This window comes from Homo sapiens, chromosome 15 (genome assembly GCF_000001405.40).
Source record: "Homo sapiens chromosome 15, GRCh38.p14 Primary Assembly".
In the NCBI taxonomy this organism is placed as follows: domain Eukaryota; kingdom Metazoa; phylum Chordata; class Mammalia; order Primates; family Hominidae; genus Homo; species Homo sapiens.
In genome coordinates, this window is record NC_000015.10 from 81,935,759 (window position 1) to 81,961,849 (window position 26,091).

Sequence of the window (26,091 nt, forward strand, 5' to 3'; positions counted from 1 at the left end):
AAAGAAAAAAGAAAAAAGGTCTCATTGGTGCCTTCACTTATGAATAATTTTGCTAATACAAAATTTAGGGACTCAGATTTTTCTTTCAAAACAGTAAGTTCAAGAAGACTAGAGTTAGCCTGGATAGAAATAAGTAAACTGCTGTCGTGTTTTCCCTCCCGGATTGGATAACTATAGAGCGATCTATGGGTATGGATATGGACACATCTTTATGAAGGTACGACAACACCAGATGGCCTTCCTGTTTCCTTATCTTTTATTTTATTAATTGTATTTGGTACTTCTTGGGCTTCAGACAGGTTTTCTTCTAGTTCTTTGTCATTATTGCTTCTCTTTCCTTTGATCTCTTCTCCGGGATTTCTATTACTTTCAATACCACGCTGTGCTTCAACACTACGTAGCGCTTCAACACTACACTGTGCTCCATGTCATCTTCTCTTACCATTATCTTTTTTTTTTTTTTTTTTGAGACGGAGTCTCACTCTGTCACCCAGGCTGGAGTACAATGGCGTGATCTCGGTTCACTGCAACCTCTGCCTCCTGGGTTCAAGTGATTCTCCTGCCTCAGCCTTCCAAGTAGCTGGGATTACACACAGCCGCCACCACGTCCAGTTAATTTTTGTATTTTTAGTAGAGACGGGACTTCACCACGTTGGCCAGGCTGGTCTCAAACTCCTGACCTCAGGTGATCCACCTGCCTCAGCCTCCCAAAGTGCTGGGATTACAGGCATGAGCCACCATGCCCGGCCAACCACCATCGTTTTTTTTTGTTTGTTTGTTTGTTTTTGCACTTTTCTTCCAAACATTGGGAGCCTTTCTTAATTTGATTTAACATGAGGAGTTTTCTATTAGTTTTAGCCATAGAAACAATTTCCAACAAAATCTGATGCCCAAATTATACAGAATTATTTTTTTAAAAAAGATCAAAAATAAGCTGCTGTGGTTGTGGTTGAAGTGGGGCTAAGGAGCCCTTGGCCCCTCCCTAAAACCCCTTCACCCCCTACCCCAGCCTCTGAGACCCTACCAGGTGGCTCTAAGGTGCTCAGTTTGAAAACCACTGCATTTCTGATTAAATTTTCTGCAGGGTTAACTTGCTTTTTTACTACTTCTAATGCTGATTTTGTGTCTATGATTTCATTGTTAATACAAAATACTGTTCTGTGTATTAGACTCATTCTTCACTTCCTAAAGTTGTGTATCTAATTCCTGTATACACCTGTAACTTTAAAAAGCTTAGACTCTACATATAATTAACAACAGAACCAAATACTTCCAGAGAAGTAAGATTTATTAACATTTGGAGAAATTTTAATAGCACATTTGGCATTCATTGATGGTATGTCTCCTTGAAAAGCCAGAGTAGTAAAAAAGGAATCTATTTAACAATTTTCTATTCATGAAAAGAGGCTAAATGTACATTTTTAAAATAAATTTTGAACTACTAAAAACATCTGTCCAAAGGTGGGAGGATTACAGGATGTAGAATTAGCCCTGGTAACTACATAAATTAAAAAAGAATGCAATAGGCTAGGTATTTGTTGTTAAGTTTTTGCTTCCAGATCCGTTATCAACCATTTAAAAAGTCATTAAATTTTAGTTTCCTTAAAAGCTTTCCTTATCAAAATAATCTCCCTTTTCATCAAAGTCTATTGTGTTTTCATCTCCTCCTTGCCTTCCTGAAGTTTATTGAGCTCAAATTAGATGTTTTCTAAAATTTTCTGCTCTTTCCTATAATAAATTTTTTCCACGGAACACTATTTCTCTGCCTCTCCAGTTTTATGTTTTCTCTCTTCCACGTTCAATCCTTTGATCGGGGAGAGATCTGTTTTGATATTTGCTCATAAAAGCACGTGTGGTTTTGCTTTGGTCCCCATGCCTGTCTCTCTGCCTTCTGTTATAAACCAAATGTCTCTGCCCATTCCAAGACAACTTTCCCATGATTGCAACTTACTTAACCTACAGAAGGATCTCCAGGTCATCTCTCTGGTCTGAAGCAGTGTATATTTCCTTGTCAAAAACATTGAATGAAAAACTTAGTCTCCTATTTGTACTAACCCCTGTTTATTCAGTTGCCAAATTCTCATCTCTTCATTAGCATTATTGGGAATTGTAGCCCAGGAGTAGGTGAAAGAGAGAGATGGAAAGAGGGAGAAAGAAAGAGAGGAAGAGAGAGACTCTATAATGGAGAAAGAATTTCCTATGACCTCTTTTTCCCTACATGGCCTTACTTTGTTCCTTGAGGCTTCCTCTAAGTTCTGTAGAGTAGAAATTTCTCCTGGCTTCCAGTAAGTTATTAAGTAATACTTCTGGCTTCCAACTCTATTGGAAATTTGAATACCTTTCTATATTTTCATAATTATGTCAGTGGGAAGGTGGGAGGGGTAAATGGGAAGTCTCTAGTATCCTGCCATCATACCACAAACTAGTGTGGTAATTCAAATTCATCAGGCCACTGATCAAACCTGCGATCTTCCCTGAAATTTTGGAATGATTGGTAGTATTGAGTCTGAAATTTGTGAACATGTACAAAAGGGAAACGTTCAACCCTAGGCAACCCTTGAAAGTGAAGAAGGCAGTGGAGGACTTGTGTGTATGCATATGTGTGTGCCCGTGCATATGACGTGGACATGTCCATGTCCATTTATATACATGATGCGGAGATGGTAAAAAAGAAGGCAAGGGGTGAATAAGTAAGAAATTTAATAACATTTAAAATCGGTTTGTATACTAACTTCTGGAGTGTTCTTTGGGGAAACACTTGAAGGTCATTCATTTTCCTTTCCTCTGGACTCCAATCTACTTGGTGCATAGAATTGCGAGGTGCTTTGGTGGTGAGCCACTCAGCATCCACTCACCTCTCTCCCATCTTAACGGCACCCAATTTTTGTTCAAATCCTCCAGCTCCCTCACAGAGCCCTTGTGCTTTGAGGAACATTGACCTAACACTAGTGCCCCAGGTGAATCCTGATTGGTCTAATCCAATCAGGGTCATCCCATCTCCCTACCACAGGGGTTAACCAGGTAATTGGCCTAAGCCAATTAGTGCCAGGCTATCCCCAGCCTCAGCGACTGATCTTCATAACCTTGGCGTAGGCCAATGTTTCTTTTAAAACACACACACACACACACACACACAAACATAAAGGAAAAGATTGGCAAATTGAGCTTCATTAAATGAAGACTGTCTATTTATCAAGACACCATTAAGAGAGTGAAAGGCAAGCGACTGAGTGGGAGAAGAGGATTTTCATGCAGCACGTATAAAGAACTCCTACCTATCAATCTTTAAAATGAGAGACAACATGTTCAACCCTAGGCAACGGTCTTGAACAGGAACTTCACAAAAGAGCATATCCAAATGGCCAAAATCCATGAAAAGTTTCTCTACATTATTAGTCATCAGAGAAATACATGTTAAGAACACAATGAGACATCTCTATACATCTGCTAGATCATGTTTAAAAATTTCATGTAACAATACCACTTACAGACAAAGATGTTGGGCAAATGGAACTTTCATAGACACCTGGTAGAAGTAGAAAGTGATACAGCCACTTCAGAAAACTATGCCAGTATGTACTAAAGCTACAGGTATGCCTACCCTATGACCCATCAGTTCTATTCCTATACACATATCCAAAGAAATCGCATACATATATACACCAAAATACATTATAAGAATATTCCTAGTATCATTATTTTAATAGCCAAAATTGGGAATGATCCAAATGTCCATTAATAGTGGAAAAGGCATCTGGGGTGTTGGTAATATTTTATTTATTAATCTGGGTAGTGTTTATACAAGTACTTGCCCACATTGATCTAAAAAGTGGAAGGATTTCAAACTCAAGTATATCTGACTTCAAAGGCCTGTCAATTACAGTATTTTAATAAATGTGAGTATGTAGTGGTGATGAGGTCGACTTTAAAATGTGTATGAATTGAAACATGTTCCAATTACGTCTCCTTTTATCATCCTTTTGGTGACCAAAATTATACAACCATGACTAAGAAACTACTGCCACCTAGTGGCACCCTTCCCTAATTGCAGGATAAATTATTGTGAGCGTGACTCAACTTCAAGCGTGTACAGTCAACTTAAAATAGCATGATGACAACAAAAACTTTCGTTAGATTTCCCCACACCCACCCAATATTTGTTTCTACTTATGGAAAGCAATCACTTCTTACTCAGATAGCTTCATCTGAGTAATGTAAACATTTTGTCTTTATCCTATTCTTTTTATATATAAAAATAGTTAAAATGATTACCTGCCAATCATTGAGCAGTTACTACATGTCAGACATTGCATTAATACCTTTGCATGGATTATGTCATTTAGTTGTCATAACAATTCTCTAAGGAGTCTACTACTATTATACCCATTTTAGAGATGAATAGACATAGATATGTTGAAGTTTCCCAAGGTCAACATAGCTAAGTGATCAAGTTGGAATTTTAATCCAGATCTGCAGGATTTCAACCCTCTTGCTCTCCTATCTTCCAAGCATCCAAGTTGGATATTTTTTCTTCAAAGTAGGGAATCCAGAAATGTGAGTTCCAGTGCTGGAGGTGACAAGAACTCACTGTGGACCATAAGCAATTCACTTCACTTGTCAGAGACTCAATTTTCTTATCTGTAAATTAAAAATCTTGCCCAGGTGATCTCTGAGCCTCCTTCCCACACCATCACCTAATAGCTCCTGATCACAGAAGAAAGGCATTAATCTAAGCCACTGGCAATATGTTTTTGTGGTTTGGTGCAACTATTTTTAGACCATCACAGAATAAGAGCTCATTTCATGGAGCCAGTCACAAATTTCCCACAATCTTTGGGGGAAATCCAAGCCTGGGTGATTCTGGTGCTTAATGAGATGATGTAATGCAGGAAAATATATAGCTGGAAGAAAATTTTATTGGTGTGAGTAAATGTGCATTTTCAAGTGAATTACAAGACCTTAAGAAGTAAATGTATATGCCCCAGGGGAGAAATCACCTAAGACTTTAAAACAGAGCATGTAGTGTTCATTTGTAGGCATTCTAAGAACCTTTGCAGATGTGAAGGAAAAGGAAAAATTGTGCAGAACCTTTAACCCTAGAAAGAAAAACAAATGACCTCAGAAAAATATCTTCAACTAAGTAAATTGAGGATACCCCATGACAGGTGCAACTGTCAGATAAAGGGGCTTTATAATGCAACATGAGCTAACATATTCATTCAGGAGAGGTGCACTTATGTAAATCTGCTAATGGGAAATCTACAGGATTAGCAACTTTAAAGAATAATGCATGAAACTAGTCTGGCATTTAAATGATGAAGCATGCACTCTCTAACATGCCTATGTTTTTTTTAAAAAAAAAAGGCATGTTGTCTGACGCAAACACAAGAAGTAGCATTCTGAGTCATGTAAATTTCTTGAAGTTTTTCTAAACTGCCACATACCTATAATACATTTGGCATATACATCCTAGCAAATTCCAATCCTGTGATGTCCATTTCAGAGTGCACAATTTTGACAGACTGTTAGTGACTGGGAAGTTTGGGGTTTTTTTCCCTTTATTATTTCAATAGCTAACTTTAAGTAGATATAATAAATAAGGTAAAACATTGCACAATGAGAAAGATGGCCAGAGAGATGCCTTTTTGTCCTGTTTTGCCTGTTTTATCTCTGCAAAGGCACTCCTGGTATTTTTCAACCACAAAACAAGAATTTATCAGTGTATAAGCTAAGAATCAATTCAGACAAGTCCATCTTAGGAAATACCACTCACGGATGCTTTCAAAATCAATAGAGCATTGCAAGGAATCAAGGGCTGCACCATAAACTTGACAGGACTAAGGCAAATAACACATCTCCGCTCTGCAGTTACCACGCTAAAACAATCTGGCTCACAGCATGCAAATGGCCATTGTGTACACATTTACAGACTAGAACACTGAAGCACAGCAGGACAGCTAAACTGTGCCTGCCTCCAACAGACCCAACTGCTGACGCCTCCAAATGTGACCTGAGGGCTCCTCTGCAGAATGCTCCTCTGATCATTTCAGTCTTGCTGCTGCTGTTCACACCTAACCCAATGGCAAACACCATCTCCAGGTGTCATCTAGCTCCCCATACTGCTATGCCCCTCAATGCTTGCTCTAACTGTAGAGGGTTTATCTCTCCCTTGCTCAACAGGGATCATAAATCTATGGGAATGCTACAGTAAGGATAGACCTTCAGGATATCTAGCCGTCTCTCTTTACGTCAGTTCAAGTCTACAAACATGTATGCAACTAGCATAGTGCTTGACACAGAATAGAGTCTCAAAAATTATGTATTGGGTCTATGGATTTGCAAATTGTTTACATTTACAAGATGAGCAAGACCTATCTTCTGCTTTCAGTTAAGGGGATGGGACATGTTAAGAGTAACTATACTTGAAGAATAAGAAACCACAGCCATTCAGGGAGGCCCATGGAACGAGGTGGCATTTGAGGTAGACCCTACAGGATGGATGGCAAAGTATAACAGAGAGATAAGAAAATGCTTCCTCTTTCTTTAGAATCTTTCTCTTCTAGTTTCCTTGCATTCTTCTGAGAATTTCAGCCTCTTTGCTTAAGTTTTATCTCCACTCTCCAAATAGACAGGCTCATAAACAATCCCCACTGAGTGCTTGTGGGTTGGATAGATGAGTGGACAGATGGATGAAAAGTGCTCCCTGCTTAAGTTTTGCAATAGCTCCCTATTGTCTACCATATTGCATTTAAGCTAATCTTCATTGACCTAATTAACCAAACCCTAGTCACAGTTTCATCTTCACTGTGGTCTAGCAAATTTCCTAAACATCTTGCAGAAATCTTTGCTGTACCCCATCTTTTGATCTGCCTACTGAATTCTTCTGCTGTAAAATGGCCTATTTACTTTTTCAATCTCTTCATCCTCCAAAGTTAAGTTCAAGTTTTGCTTCTTCCAGGAAGTCGTTTTGGCCATAGTAATCCACAGGGAGTCCTCCTTTCTCTGAATTTCTGCAGGACTTGCAATGGGTGCCAATCTGTTCCTAAAGCATAATGCCCAGAATCTCCTCTGACTATTTCAAATGACGTCAGATTGTTCTGTAAGTTATTTCTCTCTTCATGCACAAGAAACATTTTGCGTTTATGATGTATCCTTTCCTAGACTTTGCATAGATCTTGACTTACAAACTGCTGAGCAAGGCACAGTGAGGAGGGAGGGAGAGAATGGATGGATTCTGAGCTAGTTTGAAGCCCAGATCCCTCACATACATGTCATTATTTTCTGAGACACTACTTCCTCATCTGAAAAAAAAAATGAGATCAAGGTCCTTCTATTGCAAACATGGTATGACAATCAAATGAGACAACCTATGTGAATGCACTTAATATGGCATTTAGCAAATTTGAGTCATTCAACAAATGACTGAGTCCCTCTTCTATTAGAACTCTAAGATGCGGAGGTGGGTTGCAGGTAAGGCAAAATAGCCTGCTTTCTCCAAGGGTTAATATTACCAAATTCTGAAACTAATTGTCTGGTATTTAAATAATTCTTTTGAAGACAACTGAAAAAGTCAAGCCTTAAACTTGAAACCTGTTTTGCAAGGTCAGCCCTCATTCTAGAAAAACAAAACAAAAACCCTGTAATCCAGGAGAGAACAGGATGGTGTTCTGTGCAGGCAATATAAATGTGCCACAACTCCACAGAGTCAAGGATTTATCAAAACAATGCAGTTCTCCTACCAGCCAAGTTCCTGACAGCTACATTGTAACTCTATAATTATCTATAAAATGCCTGCAGATCATAACGGTGCTTCATTCTTTTCTATGTCAATGGCAGCCTTTCCCTGACATTGGGGCCCTTCTCTTGCCGCAGACATGAGCAGCCACTCAAAACAATGTGCTCAACTTTGTGGTCCTCAGTCAGAAGAGAACCCACACACATAGTGGCATCTTTCACTGGCCCTGTTTACAAACCCCTGTGGCAGAAATCTAAACTTGCTTAAGCAAAATAATAATAAGGCCGGGCGCGGTGGCTCACACCTGTAATCCTAGAACTTTGGGAGGCTGGGAGGCCGAGGCGGGTGGGTTGCCCGAGCTCAAGAGTTCGAGACCAGCCTGGGCAACACGGTGAAACCCCTTCTCTAGTAAAATAAAAAAGAAATTAGCTGGGCGTGGTGGCACGCACCTGTAATCCCAGCTACTCGGGAGGCTGAGGAATGAGAATTGCTTAAACCCTGGGAGGCAGAGGTTGCAGTGAGCCGAGATCACACCACTGCACTCCAGCCTGGGCGACAGAGCAAGACTCCATCTCTACAAAAATAATAATAATAATAGGTGATGAGAGGGAATTGTTTTTATCCATGCAGTTAGGAAAGGCCAAGCGGAAAGTTTCCCTGCACTTAGTCCACACTTCCAGATTCTGTTTCTCTCTGTGCACTGATTTTTTTCTCCTTCTATACATGGGCTTCCTCCTAGGACTTCCTCCAGTTATCCTCTTATTTCTTTTTTTTCCTTTGTAGTCATATTTCTTGAAACCATAGTCTACACAAGACAGCTCCATGTACTCCTCTCTCACTCTCTCCTCAAACTATCCAGGGCTCCTTTCTGCCCTACTGCTTCATTCTGAATCTGCTCTCATGCCAGCTATCAATAATCTCCTAAGTGTCTGCTTTGGCCATACTTTGAATCCTACTAGGTTTTTCTTGTATTTCTTCTTATTGGCTCTCTCTCTCTTTTTTTAAATGTTTTTTGTTTGTTTGTTTGTTTGTTTTTTGACAGAGTCTTGCTCTGTCACCCAGGCTGGAGTGCAGTGGCACAATCTCAGCTCACTGCAACCTCTGCCTCCCGGGTTCAAGCAATTCTCCTGCCTCAGCCTCCCGAGTAACTGGGATTACAGGCACCCACCACCAAGCCTGGCCTTTTTTTTTTTTAATTTAGTAGAGACAGGGTTTTGCTTTGTTGGCCAGGCTGGTCTCAAACTCCTGACCTCAAGTGATTCGCCCGCCTCGGCCTCCCAAAGTGCTGGGATTACAGGCCTGAGCCACCGCTCCCAGCCTCTTTATTCACACTTATATTTTTCAAATTATCTGCAACTTACATGTATGACTTTTTAAATTTTATTTGTAATTGACAAATAGTACTTGTAAATATTTACAATGTTTCTGTGTATCATACTCTCTGGTCTCTTTCTGGCAGCCCCTTTTCAGGGTCGTTTACTAGCTCCCTTCCTCTACCCATCTCTTAAATGTTGTTATTCCCCAGGGTTCTGAGATAGGAGGTGGAACTCGACTCAGGGCCACTTGAACTCGAGTTGTTTCTAGTTGTCCTCAGAATAAAGTGTTAAGTTTTCTTATCTGCCCCATGCATGCCTCACCAGCCTCATCCTCCTCCCCTGCGGTCTCACGATCTGGCCTCACCAACTCTGTGGAGTTGCTCAAATGTGGATACCCCTCTCCCACCTCTGCACCTTGGCCTGGGCTGTTTCTCTTTATAAAGTGCTTTCCCCTTTGTTCACCTAGAGGAATCCTACTCATTCTTCCAGGCTCAATTTAGCCATTGTGTTAGTTTCCTGGGCTGCTGTAACAAAGTATCTCTCGTTGGGTGGCTTAAACAAGAGAAATGTATTGCCTCTTGCTCAGCTCTGGAGGCTAGAAGTCTGCAATCCAGGTGTCAGCAGGATGTTTTCTTCTGAGGGCTGTTGGGGGTTGTGGGGAGTGTTCCATGCTTCTCTCCCAGCTTCTGGTAGCCTCACGTGTTCCTTGACTTGTAGATGGTGTTCCCTTTGTGTATTCACAGCATCTTCACTCTATGTGCATCTCTCTCTGGGTCCAAAACCCCTGCTTTTTTTTTTTTTTTTTTTTTTGAGACGCAGTCTCCCTCTGTCCCCCAGGCTAGAGTGTAGTGGTGCGATCTCGGCTCACTGCAAGCTCTGCCTCCCGGGTTCACGCCATTCTCCTGCCTCAGCCTCCCGAGTAGCTGGGACTACAGGCGCCCGCCACCACAACCGGCTAACTTTTGTATTTTTAGTAGAGACGGAGTTTCACCGTGTTTTAGCCAGGATGGTCTTAATCTCCTGACCTCGTGATCCGCCCGCCTCGGCCTCCCAAAGTGCTGGGATTACAGGCGTGAGCCACCGCACCCGGCCAAATTCCCTTCATTTTTTAAGGCCACTAGTTATATTGAATCAGGACCCACTCTAATGACCTCATCTTAACATGATCATCATCTGCAAAGACCGTATTTCCATATAAGGTCGCATTCATAGGTACTCGTGGTTAGGACTTCGCTGTCTTTTAGGGGAGACACCATTCAAACCATAGCAGCTAATATCGTATCTTATCTAACGCTTTTTCTTCTTTTTATTTACAATGACATCCCACTTCTACACTTAGACGTAGGAAGTCTTCCTCCCATAATTAACAAGGCAAAACTAAGAAGACCAGAGCCCAGGGAGACAATCCAGCCCTGCTAGCCATTTGTTCTTGCAGGGAAACAACTATTCTTTTGATGGCTTCCCAGGCCAAGAACCAAGGGATAGAAGTAAAAGCCAAAGGTCACCTCAAAGTTAGGAGTCTGATAGAGCTCTTAACCCCACATTATGCCATGATAAAGAAAGTCCCTGGGGTGAGAGTGAGCCACAGGTAAACTGGACTCCCTGCCCCCAAACCAGCACTGCAGTTCAGTTGCTTTGGTGCCCAGCAGTGAAGGGAGGGAAGAAAAGTAAAGGGGTAAAATCTATTTCTAAAGGTAGTGAACTAACATCAGCCCTTAGGAGGCAGGAAAATAGGTCCGGAGGCAGGGAACCTAAGGCCATTTCATGCTGAATTCCTAGAACTAAGTTGACAGGAAAACCCTACCTTTCCACACCTAAGTAACAAAAGGACCAGAGACTACTCCCTTTGCAAAAGCCCACCTTTTCTGCAGGGCAGATGGGAAATTGAAAGTTCCTCTGATTGGTTGAATTTGCAACCAGTAAGACGTTTGCATAGGAGTGTAACTTTGTAACTTCATTTCAGCCTCTGATTGCAGGCCAAGCCTTCATTTGCATAGAAGCGCAACTTAATAACTTCAGTTTAGCCTCTGATTGGTTGCTTTCCACAACCAATCAGACGTTTGCATAGGATTGTGACCTTTGAAACTTCACCTTTGTAACTTCACTTAAAGTGCAGGCCACCACTTCATTTATAGTAGTTGAACACCAAGTGGCCAATGGGAAACCTCTAGGGGGTATTTGGACCTGAAAAGATTCTGTAACTGGGGCCCTTGCAGCACTGCTCAGGCCGCTCCCACACTGTGGAGTGTACTCCATTTTCAATAAATCTCTGCTTTTGTTGCTTCGTTCTTTCTTTGCTTTTTTTATGCGTTTTGTCCATTTCTTTGTTCAAACACCAAGAACCTGGACACCCTTCACCGGTAACACTAACACAGAATCATCGCCCAAATTCTCAACATCAGGGTAGTCTGAATGCCTCATTCGCTCTCTCTTCCTCTCATATTGAGCCATTGAAGCTTAATCTGAAAGTACCTATGCACCCAAGGAAAATACAGGGACAAAAATGAACGATGGAAAAAATATATGGCATCTTTAGAACAAAAATCAATTTAAATCAAAACCATGTAATATTAACACAGGGAAGAAAGGAGAGTGAGTAGAAAACTCTTTAGGTTTTTGGCTTGCTGCTTTTAAAATTCACATTCTAATAGTGTATTGTTTCAGTTATTAGAATGATATATAATAAAAATTCTCCATTCCTCTGATATCTGATTAAATTACTTCACTTCCTCCTTTTTTTTTTTTTTTTTTTTTTTTTTTTTTTTTTTTTTTTACTATTTGGGCTTTTGTTGGCAGGAGGTATTGTGACATTCTTGGTGAAAATTTTACTGCTTGGAATCCAGTGATTGTGAAAACATTAAGAAGCACCAATGTTTTCATAATGTCACAGTCAAAACAATTCTCAGGCGATGAGTTCTACCACCAAGCAGGCAGCCTCTGCATCCATGGCCTCAGGAAGCTGGAAACCTCCTTCAGGAAGTTTGAAATATCCTTCTTCACCTCCACTTTACAGAACAATGTCAGCCTCCCTGTTAGAAAGCAGGTGGTAAGTGAGATAACGGGATAGCTGTCAAATAAAGTGAGGCATTTTGGACCTTGAAGGGGCCTTAGAAATCAATTTTCTGTAAAAGCTTAAGCAAGTCCTTTTGTAGGACGCATGTGGTGGCTATTGAGCTGTTTCTGGCACAACAGAGGCCCAGGTAGATGAAGCCAAGGTGGACAGCTCATAGAACAGCTTAGAAAATAGAGGCACTGGCCAGGCATGGCAGCTCACGCCTGTAATCCCAGCACTTTGGGAGGCCAAGGCCGGTGGATCACCTGAGGTCAGGAGTTTGAGACCAGCCTGGCCAACGTGGCAAAACTCTGTCTTTACTAAAAAAATACAAAAATTAGCTGGGCACGGTGGCAGGCACCTGTAATCCCCGCTACTCAGGAGGCCGAGGCAGGAGAATCACTTGAACCTGGGGAGGCAGAGGTTGCAGTGAGCCACGATTGCGCCACTGCCCTCCAGCCTGGGAGACAGAGCGAGACTCCGTCTCAAAAAAAGAAAAAAAAGAAAAAAAAAAAAGGAAGTAGTGGCATTGCCTGAAGACTTTGGTCCAAGCCACGGACAAGTTTTCAGGTAGTTCTCAAGCTCCGGAATCCCCTTATCACTGTTGCTGCAAGTTGAAGCAGAGCCCTGTGCACCTAGCAGGAGGGACAATGATCAAGGAGATAAGCCTCCCCCAGGGAAGGCACAGCTAGGGCAAGTGGTTTGCATAGCAGTGGTTGAAGAAGCAGAAGAGCATCCCAAGATTCTTTAAAGTTCAGGTGTACACAGATCTAGAAGTAGCATATATGGAACAAAATAGATAACAGTTATATAGCTGGTAAGGGCTTGGTAAATGAAATGAAATTTGAACTATCTCAAATAAAAAGACCGAAAACTGGTTTTAGCATGCAGGTACAAGGGAGAGCCCATTCTCAAACAGGCCACTGTGGCACGTGGCAGTGGGTAATGTGTTAAAGAGAATGCACGAATGAATCGGAACCAGAATGATTCAAAAGGATGGGAAACCAAAAGGCCCAAGAGAGAGAGCCATTTCCCTTAGCCACACCTAGTTAAACTTGCCCACAGTTCCCTAGTGAAGTTCTTAGCTGGTAACATCAGACCCACCAGTGCAGGAAGTGAAACTTACTGAAGATAGGTCGGGCGCGGTGACTCACGCCTGTAATCCAAACACTTTGAGAGGCCGAGGCGGGCAGATCACCTGAGGTCAGGAGTTTGAGACCAGCCTGGCCAACATGGTGAAACCCTGTCTCTACTAAAAACACAAAAAAATTAGCCAGGCGTGGTGGCGTGCACCTGTAATCCCAGCTACTTGGGAAGCTGAAGCAGGAAACTCCCTTGAACCTGGGAGGTGGAGGTTGCAGTGAGCCGAGATAGCGCCACTGCACTCCAGCCTGAGTGACAGAGTGGGACTCCTTCTCAAAAAAAAAAAAGAAACTTATTGAAGATAATTATCCTCAGTTGACCTCTTAAGGAATGGTACAGAGTTCTCTTAGAATAAAATGGGTTCATATATGCTCTTCCTCTAGTTGTCCTTTGTTAAGGAGGCCCTAGGGTACTGTGAGAACCGTACCTCTTCTGAACTAGTAGAACCCAAATAACAGGCAGAGCCATTGCTGGCCAGTGGGGCAGACCAGTTAAGCACATCCTTCCCCAAACTATGCTTATTCTTTCCTGAGTGTCTACGCTGGGCACTTTCACCCCTCTGGGCTTCAGAGTCCTCATTTATGTAACAAATGGGTTGGGCAACATTATTATTTTAGTCCCTTTTAGCATCTTGATTATACTAGTTTTCTATTGCTTCTATAACAAATTCTCACAAATGTGGTGACTTAAAGCAACACAAATTTGTTCTCTTTCAGTTCTGTAGGTCAGAAATCTGAAATGGGTCTTGCTGTGCTCATATTAACTTGTGGGCAGGGCTGTGTTCCTTCTCTGGGGGAGAATAGGTTTCCTTGCCTTTTTCAGCAGAAGCTGGAAAATGAGAGGCTGCTCATTTCCTTGGCTCTTCTTCCTTCTTCCAGCAATGCCAGGGTAAGCCCTTCTCCCAGCAATGCCAGGGTGAGCCCTTCTCCCACTTGTCATCGCTCTGCTTCTCTCTCTCTCGAGGTTTTTTCCAATTCTGTGGACTCTTGCAATTCCACTGGGGCCACCCAAATAATCCATGAGAATTTCCCTATCGTAAAGTCCGCTGATTAGCAACCTTAATTCCATCTGCCACCTTAATTCCTCTTGCCATTTAACCTAACACATTAACAGATTCTGGAGATTAGTACACAGACATCTTTAGGGGGCCATCATTCTACTTGCCACATCAGTAACACCAACCTCTTTTTCTATAATAATCAGCTTTCACTCCTATCACTAACCTTAACTTCCCTAGGGCCCAAAGGGTGAGTGTCATTTAAATAAAGAAGGAACAAATTGGCTTATGAACCACCTGCTATTGAGAAGGCAAAAAAGAAGACACTGACATGTATTGAGCATCTAATATATATCAGCTACTGTGTTACATGCTTCATCTACAGAAACTACCTGTTACACACAGAACCCTGCAAGACAATCATTGGGACCACCATTTTTAGGAGAAAACTAAGATTCAGACAGTTTAATTAAAACGTCCAGGCCAGGCGTGGTGCCTCACGCCTGTAATCCCAGCACGTTGGGTGGCCGAGGTGGGTGGATCACTTGAGGTCAGGAGTTCGACACCAGCTTGGCCAACATGGTGAAACCCCATCTCTACTAAAAATGCAAAAATAAAAATAAAAATAAATAAATAAATAATAAAATGGCCAGTAAGTGGTAGAGTCAGAATTAAAATCATAAGCATCAGAACAGCTTCAGAGTTTACGGTCTTTTTAATACATTAGTCCTCTGACAGTCCCTTGGTCTATGTGTTCAGGATGGCTTTCCAAAATGCAAATATAAGAACAATGTAGCTGAATATACTCAATTCAAAAAGGTTGTCCTTTATTTGGAGTTTTTTTCCTTCCTAGTTTTTTTTGGTTTCAAAGCTATTTTTAGTTTAAGGAATGCTGGGGGTGGAAAAAGAAGATTGTTGGAGTCATACCGACCCAGACTTGAATATCAGCACTGCTGCTTCCTGCCTGTGTAACAGCAGAGGCTGGAGCCTCTGTTTGCTTATCTATAAAACGAGGATAATGAGGCCTATCTCATAAAGCTGTTTTGAAGATTGAGATAATGTGCAGTGCCTGACAGGTTGCCTAATCCACTGTTGATGTTCATTCTCTCACTCCACCGTCTTTGCAACGCCCACCAATCACTTGGCTCCGTCCATCGCTTGCATGTAAATGAATCCTGCATCCACATTGTCAGGCCTTTCCTCTTCCTGGTCCTGGCCTTCTAAGCACCTCCACCCCCATGCCTTGCCAGTGTCTCAGGCTCAGCATATCCAAAGCTGAACCCTCCCACCCCAAAACCTTCTTTCACTCCTGTTTCCTTTGTTTCTGTTGATGACACACCCATTGGCCCTGTCACCCAAGCCAGTAAACTTGAGAGTCGTTTTTGATTCCCTTTTCCTGTACAACTGATGGGCTAACATAGCCAACAGTCTCACCCTCCCAATTCTCACCGCCACTCTCCCACGCTGGTTCTTAGATCCCACACAGGGACCACACTCACTCCCAATGCCTTCACCTCCAGCCTCTCTGCCCTGGATTGCTTTTTGGGAGGTAACATCACATCCCTGTCCAGAAGGCTTTAGTCATTTCCAAAGGCCTCGAAGATCACATCCAGACTCCTTAGCCTAGTTCTCAAAACCCTCTGCAACCTCACACCACCGTTCCTGTTTTACCATCTTTCTCCTACCATCCTGTGATACACTCTAAACTCCAGCCAAATTATCAAAGACCCACTTTCTGCCTTCATCTCCCCCAACGAGGTCTAGCCCCATGCTTTTGCATATGCTCTTTTTTTTTCCACCAGATTTCCTGATGTCTATTTTTTAATGGGGTACATGTGATATTTCAGTACACATAAACGACGTGTAATGATCAAACCATGGTAACTGAGATATCTATCACATCAAATATTTATCACTTCTTTGTGTTGGGAACATTCAAAAATCCTCTCTTCTATCGATTTTGAAGTACACAATAAATTGCTGTTAACTGCAGCCCGCCCCACAGAGCGTGGGAATTTATTCCTCATATCTAACTGTAATTTTATACCCATTAACCAACCTCTCCCTGTCTCCCCTCCTCCATACTCTTCTCAGTCTCTGGCAACTACTATTCTACTCTCTATTTCTATAAGTTTAGCTTTTTTAGTGCCCACATATGAAAAATTGCCTAATATCTTGATGAGACATCCCCAGGAGGATCCCCTCCCGAAGCCCTAACACTCTCCAAGCAAATGCCAGCTTGTTAGAGCTCAAATGAGCCAAGATTCTGCTCTTTTTAGTAGTCATGTAGTCATGTCTATAGGTCTTAAATATAAAGCTGGCTAAGTATGATACATTACTTCAAATTTAGTCCTCAATGCTTTGTTTGAAATATAAGTAGGTAAGTTGGCTTTCAGTTATATATTCAGAAAGAACAGGTGCATCACTTATATCCTGGCAACCAAGCTTCACCATACCTGGCCCGTGTCAATAAGAGTTAGGACTGCACCCACTTACTCTGTAAATCAGGGGGCCCAGTGGTTCTCCCTCTGGGACAGCCTGAGGCTACAGCCTGAGGCACACCACTCCTCTGGCACCCACCAAGATCCAATAGGGAAGGTATCACCTCTCCTCTGACTGGATGAGAAAGAGCTGGTTTGCTAGGGGACAGGGGCTGTGGGAACACCCCAAAATCCTTTTTCTTCCCCATCAGACCTGGGGAGACAGAAGGCAGCATCAAGCTTTTCTTATATCCACACCTCCACCTTGTGAATCTGCATTCTCTCAAGGGACCCACTGGTGTACAGGGAAAAGAGCAACTCCTAGCTCTACTCCTGAACCTAGAAAGTGAGTCCTTAATGGAATCACTAATCCTTCCCTTTCTCCCATTTCCACATGCTCACGGGCTCCACCTCTATCACGTGCCAGTGCTAAAGCCACACAGTGCTGGAGGCCTCTCCAGTGCCATCTCTGAGCTGGCTCTCCTGCTGTGAATTTCCACTGCCCTCCATCAGGGTCGTTTCTAGTCGTGATGCTGCGTTAGAATGATCCATGGAGCTCTGCAAGTGCTGAAATTCCCACCCCTGCCAGGCCCAACCATAACCTCCAGGGGATTGGGCCAGGTGTCTGTACTCTGTATCATTGGAGCACCCTTATTTGTAGTTTGGCATGGAGAGAATGGGCCCACAACAGTGTCCTGAATTACAATATTAATGCCCACATGAGTGTAAAATTTAGTCACTCTCCCTTCGGAACGGCCCCTCCTCCAACACATACCACATGTCTGGGAATCCCCCGCATGCCCATCATTTCCAAAGCTTACCCTTTCCCAGAGCTGCCCCACGGGATGCACAAAGGCCCCTGGTGAGTGTGGTGGACAGTCAGCTCAGTGCCCTGCCAGCTTGAAGAAGCCCAACATCCTCTTCACGTGGCTCTCCCTGTATCCCTCATGGGAGGGGGCATCATTCACGGTTTTTATAATGCCTTCCACATTTGCAAATAAAATGAATTCCGCTCCACCTTAAGAACTAAGTCAAAAGAAAGAAATCAATTTTTGAAGCCAAATTCAATGAACTAAATTCGTAATTTAAAATAAAACCTTTTAGATTCTTTCACTATATTTCCCCCTCTAGTTACTTTTTATTACTACATTTCAAATTCCTACTTCTGACATCCCTTTTTCACTGAAGTTCAACCAGTTAATTTTTTTTTTTTTTGAGACGGAGTCTCACGCCCAGCCTGGAGTGCAGTGGCACCATCTCGGCTCACTGCAAGCCCCACCTCCCGGGTTCACACTATTCTCCTGCCTCAGCCTCCCGAGTAGCTGAGACTACAGGCGCCCACCACCATGCCTGGCTAATTTTTTGTATTTTTAGTAGAGACAGGGTTTCACCATGTTAGCCAAGATGGTCTCGATCTCCTGACCTCATGATCTGCCTGCCTCGGCCTCCCAAAGTGCTGGGATTACAGGCATGAGCCACCACACCTGGCCCATTTTTTAAAAATATATATACTTCTATTAAATGCCAAGAATGATGGATCCAAACCAACACCAAAGATAAATGCACGTTATCCTGTTCCTGGAGGAAATCGGCTACACACATTGTTTACTTCAAACCCCAGCACTTGATTCAGTTCAAGTGCCACTATTTTTGCTAATTTAAATTATCTTGCAAAAAATTAAAACATTCTGAGATCCTTTGCTACTTGCTTTAAATATTATTCATATATTGTCCAAAAAATTCTTGATTTTCTTTGTGTGCCTTTTCTGAATAAATAGTTTTCCCTCTTTCTACAAGGTGACTACATTTTGTCTTGAGATCAAAATATTTCCAAAGAAACATATGGCCAATGTCATGGAAAAGCCCTCCCCATATGTCAGCGTTTGATTTACATGCCACATATCTACCTTCGGGGGGTGGATATGTAGATGAGAAATAGTCACGGTGGCGGTTCCCCGGTTCATCTTTCCCTTGAAGCATCCTAAACTCTGGGGAAGAGAAAAACAAGTGTTTTAGAACTCTGGATAAGCATCAGCAGGACATTTCTGGGGACCCACTTTGTAGTTCAGGTGCAGAATGGTCAGGTTGGTATCGCCAAAACAGGGACAAGCTGCCCATAAACATCATGGCACTGTAAAAAGGCGGCCAGGCTGAACTGCAAAGTCATCTAGGAGAAAAAAGAACTAAAATCTTTCAAGCTCCTATGATGCTCTGGGCACAGTGTTCGTCCTACTTATCCCAGTAACATTAAGAGAGAAGCAGGAGACTTTGTTGTCGCCAAGGATATATTGTGAAAAATCTCTAAAAATACATTTCAAACTTGCAGCTTACCAAAAAATTGTTACCAAAGGCTGTGAGAAATGAAGACCCTTACCACTGCCCTACACCCATCATCAGCATTATTTCCTAAAGTGTGGCTGAGGCCGAGGGATGTGATGAAGTTCATTGAAGAAATGATGAGCAAACAGGAGTTAAAAAAAAAAATGGCAGGTAAAAGTGAGGGAAGGGCTGGAAGCTAGGGATGCACATTGGCTACCTATTGCTGAGTTTAAAATTACCCCCAAAACTTAGTGACTTAAAACAACAAACATGCATGGTTGTTGTCACAGGTTCTGTGGGTCAGGAATTAAGAAGTGGCTCTGGGCCGGGCACAGTGGCTCCCTCCTGTAATCCTAGCACTTTGGGAGGCCAAGGCAAGTGAATCACTTGAGGTCAGAAGTTCGAGACTAGCCTGGCCAGCGTGGCGAAACCCCATCTCTACTACAAATACAAAAAAATTAGCCGGACGTGGTGGCTCACGCCTGTAGTCCCAGCTACTCAGGAGGCTGAGGCAGGAGAATCATTTGAACCAGGGTGGCAGAGGTTGCAGTGAGCCGAGATTGTACCACTGGACTCCAGCCTGGGTGACACAGCGAGATTCTGTCTCAAAAAAAAAAAAAAAAAAGTGGGTCTGGCTCCCTTTTGAGGTTACAGCCAAGATGTCAGCAGGAGTTCAGGTATCTAAAGGCCTAACGGGGTTCTCAAACTCTCTGGCGCCTTGTTAGCAGGAGGCCTCAGTTATTCACTGGTCCTCGGACAGAGGCCTCTGCTCCCTGTCACACAGGCCTTCTCATAGGGCTTCTTGAGTGTCCTTATGACATAAAAGCTGACTACTCCCAGAGCAAGTGATTCAAAAGAAAAAGCACAAAAGAAGTCTTAATGCCTTTTATGACCTCGTCTAAGAAATTGCATGCCATTATTAGCACTTTTTTCTATCCATTAGAAATGAGTCACTAGGTCCAGCCCACATTCATAAGGAGGGGAATTAGACTCCACCCCTTGAAGGAAGAGTATCAAAGAAATTGTATGTATTTTAAAACCACCACAGAAAGGGTGAGGGAGCAGGAATAGTTTGGTAGCAGGGAATTTTGTTGTGTGCATAACTTGGCAATAAAAACACGACTTTTACATTCTAACACAGTTGCTTCCAAACAGCCAGTCAGACCCTTTAGACCCATTTATGATCACTTTCAACTCCAACAATCTATGACTCAGTATTCAAGCAGTCTTGCAACTCACTTTATGTTTGGGTGCTCAAAGCCAATAAGCAATTGTATCAACCTTATTAAGAAGGTCTTACAGGTCATGAGCCTGTAGGGAGGCCCAGACTAAGTTCACTGTCCTCAGACTGACCTCCCAGATTTCATTGACTGTTGCAGTTAAACAGAATGTGTTGAACAATTTGCACATTTGACCCATGTATTAAATTCATATAATTTTGTAGCAAGAGATGGCTTTGTCCCTGCAAAGGCTCTCTCACTCCATCTCAGATAAAAATAAGCAAAGCTGCTTTTAGAAGCTTTGTATACTTTTTCCCCTTCTGACAGCCTTCAAGTGGCAGCATATGATTTGGTCCCTGAGACATACAAAGTGTTTTAATTAAAGGTTGTCTAAAAATACAGAACGTTTCCACAACCACATCTGCCATTAACTCTTCTGGCATCCTGGTGGCATTAAGTCCTAGAAAATTCTTACATATTAAAAAGAACCCAAGTATGCCTCTGCTGTCTGTTTGCTCCGACAAAACCAAACAGCATGTTTGTCGTTGGTGACCACAATAATTACAGGCACTGTGGGGCCTGCTACAATTTGTTCTTACAACTTGAGAACCAAGCGTAGAGATTTTGTGGCATTTTGCTGAATGGCTTTATTTAAACATTCTGTGTGGAGGAGTAATGGCTTAAGTGTCCACTAGACCAATCCAGGGTACCAGCTTTCTGTGACTTTGGACAAGTCCATTAATTCTGGTGGGCCCCAGTTTTTGTTTTTAATCTATCATTGCCATTGAACAATGACAACATGCCAAGGGCCATGTAAAGTGCTTTACATCGATGATAGCACCTAATCCTGTCTCATCCTCATGAGACAGGTCCCACTATGCCCATTTTATAAGTGTTCTTCATCTTGATTGTTTATGCCTTACCTGATGTTGAAGAAAGGCTTTCCAGCAGGGTTCAGTGGCTCAAGCCTGTAATCCCAACAATTTGAGAGGCCGAGGCAGGAAGATCGCTTGAGCCCAGGTGTTCGAGACCAGCCTGGGCATCATAGTGAGACCTCATCTCTAGTTTTTTGTTTTTTTTTTTTTTTCTTTTGAGATGGAGTCTCACTCTATTACACTGGCTGGAGCGCAGTAGCACAATCTCAGCTCACTGCAACCTCCGCCTCCCGGGTTCAATCGATTCTCCTGCCTCAGCTTCCTGAGTAGCTGGGATTACAGGCATGCACCACCACATCTGGCTAATTTTTGTATTTTTAGTAGAGACGGGGTTTCACCGTGTTGGTCAGGCTGGGCTCGAACTCTTGACATCAGGTGATCTGCCCGCCTCAGCCTCCCAGAGTGCTGGGATTACAGGCATTAGCCACCACGCCCGGCCTAAAATTTTTTTAAAAAAGAAGGCTTTCCTTTGAAAAGCAATGGAGGGTAGTGTAAACAGCATATATATTGGAGAGAGAGCACCTAGGTTCAAATGCTGGCTCTGCAATTTACTATACAGCTGAGTGATCTTGAGCTAACTACTTAACATCTCTGTGCCTCAGTTTTTCCCATCAATAAAATTTGAGTCTCAAATTTAACAAGACTTATAGTCTTGTTAACATGAATTAAAAAAGTTGAAGAGCTTAGAACAGTGCTTGGTACATAATAGTTTGCCCCAAGAACAGTAAATCCGGAATGACCTTGAACCAGTCCTTCACTGCACCAAAGAGGTAGACTAGGGAATTCGATCCTTGATTAGTCAAGGGAGAGGAAAAATACGCTTTCAGGAATGACCTCTGTGCACAGCCACCTCTAGAGACACCAACCTGAGCCAGAAAGAGAAGAGCCTTAAGGCTTTCCTGCATGCCAGGTTATCTGGGAGATAAGGCGGAGCCTGCAGCAGTGTCTGTCTTCACTTGGCAACAGGGCCATGAATGGCAGCAAGGCCCTGTCAGATGCACCTCAACAAGGGCCACCTGCACTGTAGGACAGATGTCATGACATTTCATGCAGAATTCCAGCTGCTGGTGCCCATTAGGCCCATTATGAGACTCCCTTCCTCATTCCCTGTAATCTCTACAACAACCTTGTAATCGATCAACACCCAGAAGCCTGAATCCAACTTTGGCTACAGGCTTGCTTTGGCCCACAAATGCACAGCAGCAATACATGAATAAAATCTTTGTTCTTTCCTTCCTTCTTTACCCCAGATATTCTTCCCAACAAATGAGATGCTGCCATAAATATTCCCAAGACTGCTGTGGGTAGTATAGGAGACCTGGTCTTTAAGATAATAGGCTGAATGTTTCCCTAAACAGGAACCCACTTTATATATCTTTGCAAAGGTAACAAAAGATAAACATTTCATTCACTGGAACCTGAGGAGTGGAGTAAAAAATGTAAATTACTGAGAGAAGAGCACTTCAAATGGGAGAGAAAAACTACATTTCACAAGGGGCTTTTGGCAGCTGGAGGTCATGAATAGCACGTATATCTGCATTGAACAGAGGACTGTTCAGGGAAGTAAATGGGATGAGAGCAAGAGTAGAGATAGGATCTCAAGGAAAATCTCACTCCTATTGAGCTGAGCATTGTGTTATGGGAACAGCTGCAGTCCACATGAAGGACACTTAGAGAAGGAGACATGGAAAAGAGAATTTCTAAGAAGTGTTGCCATGCACTAAGAATCTCCCCCTCCTTCCTCCAAACCACCCCTTGGAGACTTTTCGAGAGACTAAGTAAAAACTGGAGGTGTTTTTAATTATCTTTTTCTGAGGGACTTTTAATTCTTTTTATTGATACTATACAAAGTTGGGGCCACATGGGGCCCCAGTTATAGTTAGGTTATATATACAAAACTCACTAACTCAATAGAATCTCAATCCTGGGATTCCATAGTTCTAAGAACACAATATCTGGGCGAATATTACCTAAGCAGTAGTGTTTGTGCCAAGCCCCCATAAGAAAATGTGCCTTTTCATCTTGTGGGGCCCTGCAACCTATGTGAGGGACAGCACAGAAGGCAGATCGCTAGGGGTAGAAGAATGGGACTTGCAAGACTCTCACGGAGACCTACACTTATCAGGAAGTTATGGGGTTCCAACAAATCCCTGTGGATTCAAAACCAGTGAGCTCTCTCTGGTTACCTTTGTTATAAATCTCCTATACTCCTAGGCCAGGAAAAGAGGACTACTCATTAGAATTCTTTAGCCATAACACAATGTCACTCATAAGACATAAGAGCACACCATTAGTGTAAAAATAACTGGAAGGAGCTGAGCCAGGGACCACGTATTCTTCTATCACAAGAATGAGCTATCTCTCTTCTCCATCAAAACAAACATTTTCTCCACTTTCTCCTCTTCCCTTTACTCTCAAATCCTAGAGATGTTTGTGAGCCCGTCATTCCGACACTGATGACTCATGTCAATAAACACCACAGACATTACCTTTTTTGATTTTTTAAATTTTTGTGGACAGGTTCTCACTCTGTCACCCAGGCTGGAGTGCAGTGGCACAATCACAGTTCACTACAGCCTCAGACTCCTGGGCTCAAGCTATCCTCCCACCCCAGCCTCCTGAGTAACTGGGACTACAGGCACATGCCACCACACCCAGCTAATTGTTTTATTTTTTGTAGAAAAGGGGTTTTACGATGTTGCCCAGGCTGGTCTCAAACTCCTGGGCTCAAGTGATCTTCCCATGTCAGCCTCCCAAAGTGCTGAGATTACAGGTGTGAACCACCGCCCCTGCCCTCACAGATATTATTGAGCCCTCATCAGACAAAGCTTCTCATCAGCCTTCAGTGCCAGTGACACCCCCTCATCTTAAACAGTCATCCCTCCCCCTTGGCTTCCATGGTGTGGCACTGCCTTAAGTAGTTGCCCTAATCCTAATCCTCTGGCTGGGCCTTTCCTACCACATTGCAGGCTCCCATTCCTCTACATACCCATTTTATTTTCCTTCAAGGACTCCATCCTAAGCTTTCATTTTATTACCCTGTGTCTCTTCCCTGGGCAGTCTCAATGCACACGGCTCCATTACCATCCAAAATGTCAGAGCACTTAGAACTCAAAAGTGCCCTAATTGTACACTTTAAATCTCCACTTGAGCATCTCCAAGAGGATTCATATTCAGTGTGTCTAAAACTGAACATGTTATCAACCCTTCAAACTTGGTTCTCTGCCAATATTCCTCCCCTCAGTAAATACCAAAAATAATAATAATGATAACAAATATACACTCTCTGTTTACCATATGCCAAGCACCTACACATATTACACGTGACTTCTATAAGTCTCTTACTTTGTGCAGAAACTCTGAGGGGTCGCACTTTATTCGCTTTATATTACAAATAAAGAAATGACAAGAGGTCAGGTGATTTTCCTGAGGCACTCTGTTAGTAAGCAGTGGGTTCACAGTCTGCATAGTTGTTGATATGGTTTGGCTGTGTCCCCATCCCAATCTCATCTTGAATTGTAGCTCCCATAATTCCTATGTGTTGTGGGAGGGATCCAGTTGGAGGTAATTGAATCATGGGGGCAGGCCTTTCCTGTGCTATTATCGTGATAATGAATAAGTCTCATGAGATCTGATGGTATAAAGGCGAGTTTCTGTGCACATGCTCTCTCTGGCCTGCCACCATGTAAGATGTCCCTTTGCTCTTCCTTCCTCTTCTGCCATGATTATGAGGCCTCCCCAGCCATGTGGAACTCTGAGTCCATTAAACCTCTTTTTCTTTACAAATTACCCAGTCTCAGGTATGTCTTTATTAGCAGCGTGAAGACAGACTAATACAGTTGTCAAGCCAGAAACCAGGGAGGCATCATTGACACTTGCCCTTGCTAACACCCTAATTCCTCACCAAGTTCTGTTTATTTTTGCTTCCAAATAGATGTTGATTCTCTCTGTTCTCTCAATCTGTGTGGCTACCTCCCTATTTCAGCTTCCAGTGCTTCTTGCTGAGATGCCTGCAATGGCCTATCCATCTTCCTATATTCCCTCTTGTCTATGTCTAACACATGGGAGGCACAATGACTCTTTCAAAATGTGAATCTGATCACTTATGCCCTTAATGTCTTCCCCCTTGCTTATTAAATAAAAACAAACTCCTAATGATAAGCCACACAGATTCTGAGGGTCTGCTGCCATCCCCCTCCAACTCTCCAGCATGACATGTAAACACTGTCTTTCTTTCTTGTTCTCTAGGCTGCAGCCACACTGTTCTTTCAGTTCCATGATTGAAATCTTCTTTGCTTCTTGCAATCCTTCTTCTTCTTCTACCCCTGCTCTTCCCTCTGCCTAGAATGTTCTTTACCAGCTCTCTACCTAGTTAACACCTACCTGTTCTTCAGACCTCAGACCAAATTCATTTTTTCAGCAAAGTTCCTTTGCCCCCAAATGGTGTGTGTGTTCTTTTCTTCATGGTGCTAATCTCATTTAATAATTTTACAAGCATCGTTTCACTATTGGATTGCTCTCTGTCTCCCTCACTGGTTAGAAGTGCCTTGAAGCCACCAACCATGTCTGTTTTGTTTACCACTGCATCCTCCTTTAACCAGCACGAGACCTGGAGAATAACTGGCACCCATTGATGTCTGTTGGATGGATAGATGGATGGATGGATAGATATGAAATGAAGAGGGACAGTGAGAAGCCCAGCCTACTGCCCATTTTTGTCCTCCACATTCATCTGAAAGATGATCTTTTTTCTTCTTTGCACACTTAGCCATGTCTTTAGTATGCAGTGTGGGTGTTAAGCACTGGAAGACAAGTGATTCCTATAAACCTAAAAAGAGGCTGGCTAACAGGCTCATGATAGCAATGAATAAAACTGGAGGAAAAAAAAAACCAG

At 42.7% G+C, this 26,091-nt stretch overlaps 1 long non-coding RNA gene across 6 annotated transcripts in view, besides 1 other annotated feature; it reads right to left on the reverse strand.

Annotated features, from left to right (window-relative positions):
* The window catches only part of LINC01418 (long intergenic non-protein coding RNA 1418), a 107,448-nt gene that overhangs the window by 76,012 nt on the left and 5,345 nt on the right, over positions 1-26,091 (reverse strand). For 4 of the 6 annotated variants that reach the window (XR_001751640.2, XR_001751639.2, XR_932527.3 and 1 more), the window contains exons 2-3: positions 18,631-18,711; positions 17,545-17,749 (exon numbers count right to left, since the gene is read on the reverse strand). The exons of the other annotated variants lie outside the window; for them this stretch is intronic. This is a non-coding gene — a long non-coding RNA (long intergenic non-protein coding RNA 1418). The remainder of the gene's footprint in view (positions 1-17,544; positions 17,750-18,630; positions 18,712-26,091) is intronic. 6 annotated transcript variants of the gene reach the window in all.
* Positions 9,163-9,624: a transcriptional cis regulatory region, noted in NCBI's record as "candidate enhancer chr15.2841 targeted for multiplex CRISPR interference". NCBI's record gives its function as "positively regulates MEX3B gene expression with high confidence in K562 cells {active_cell/tissue: K562}" and the evidence as "EXISTENCE:mutant phenotype evidence [ECO:0000015][PMID:30612741]".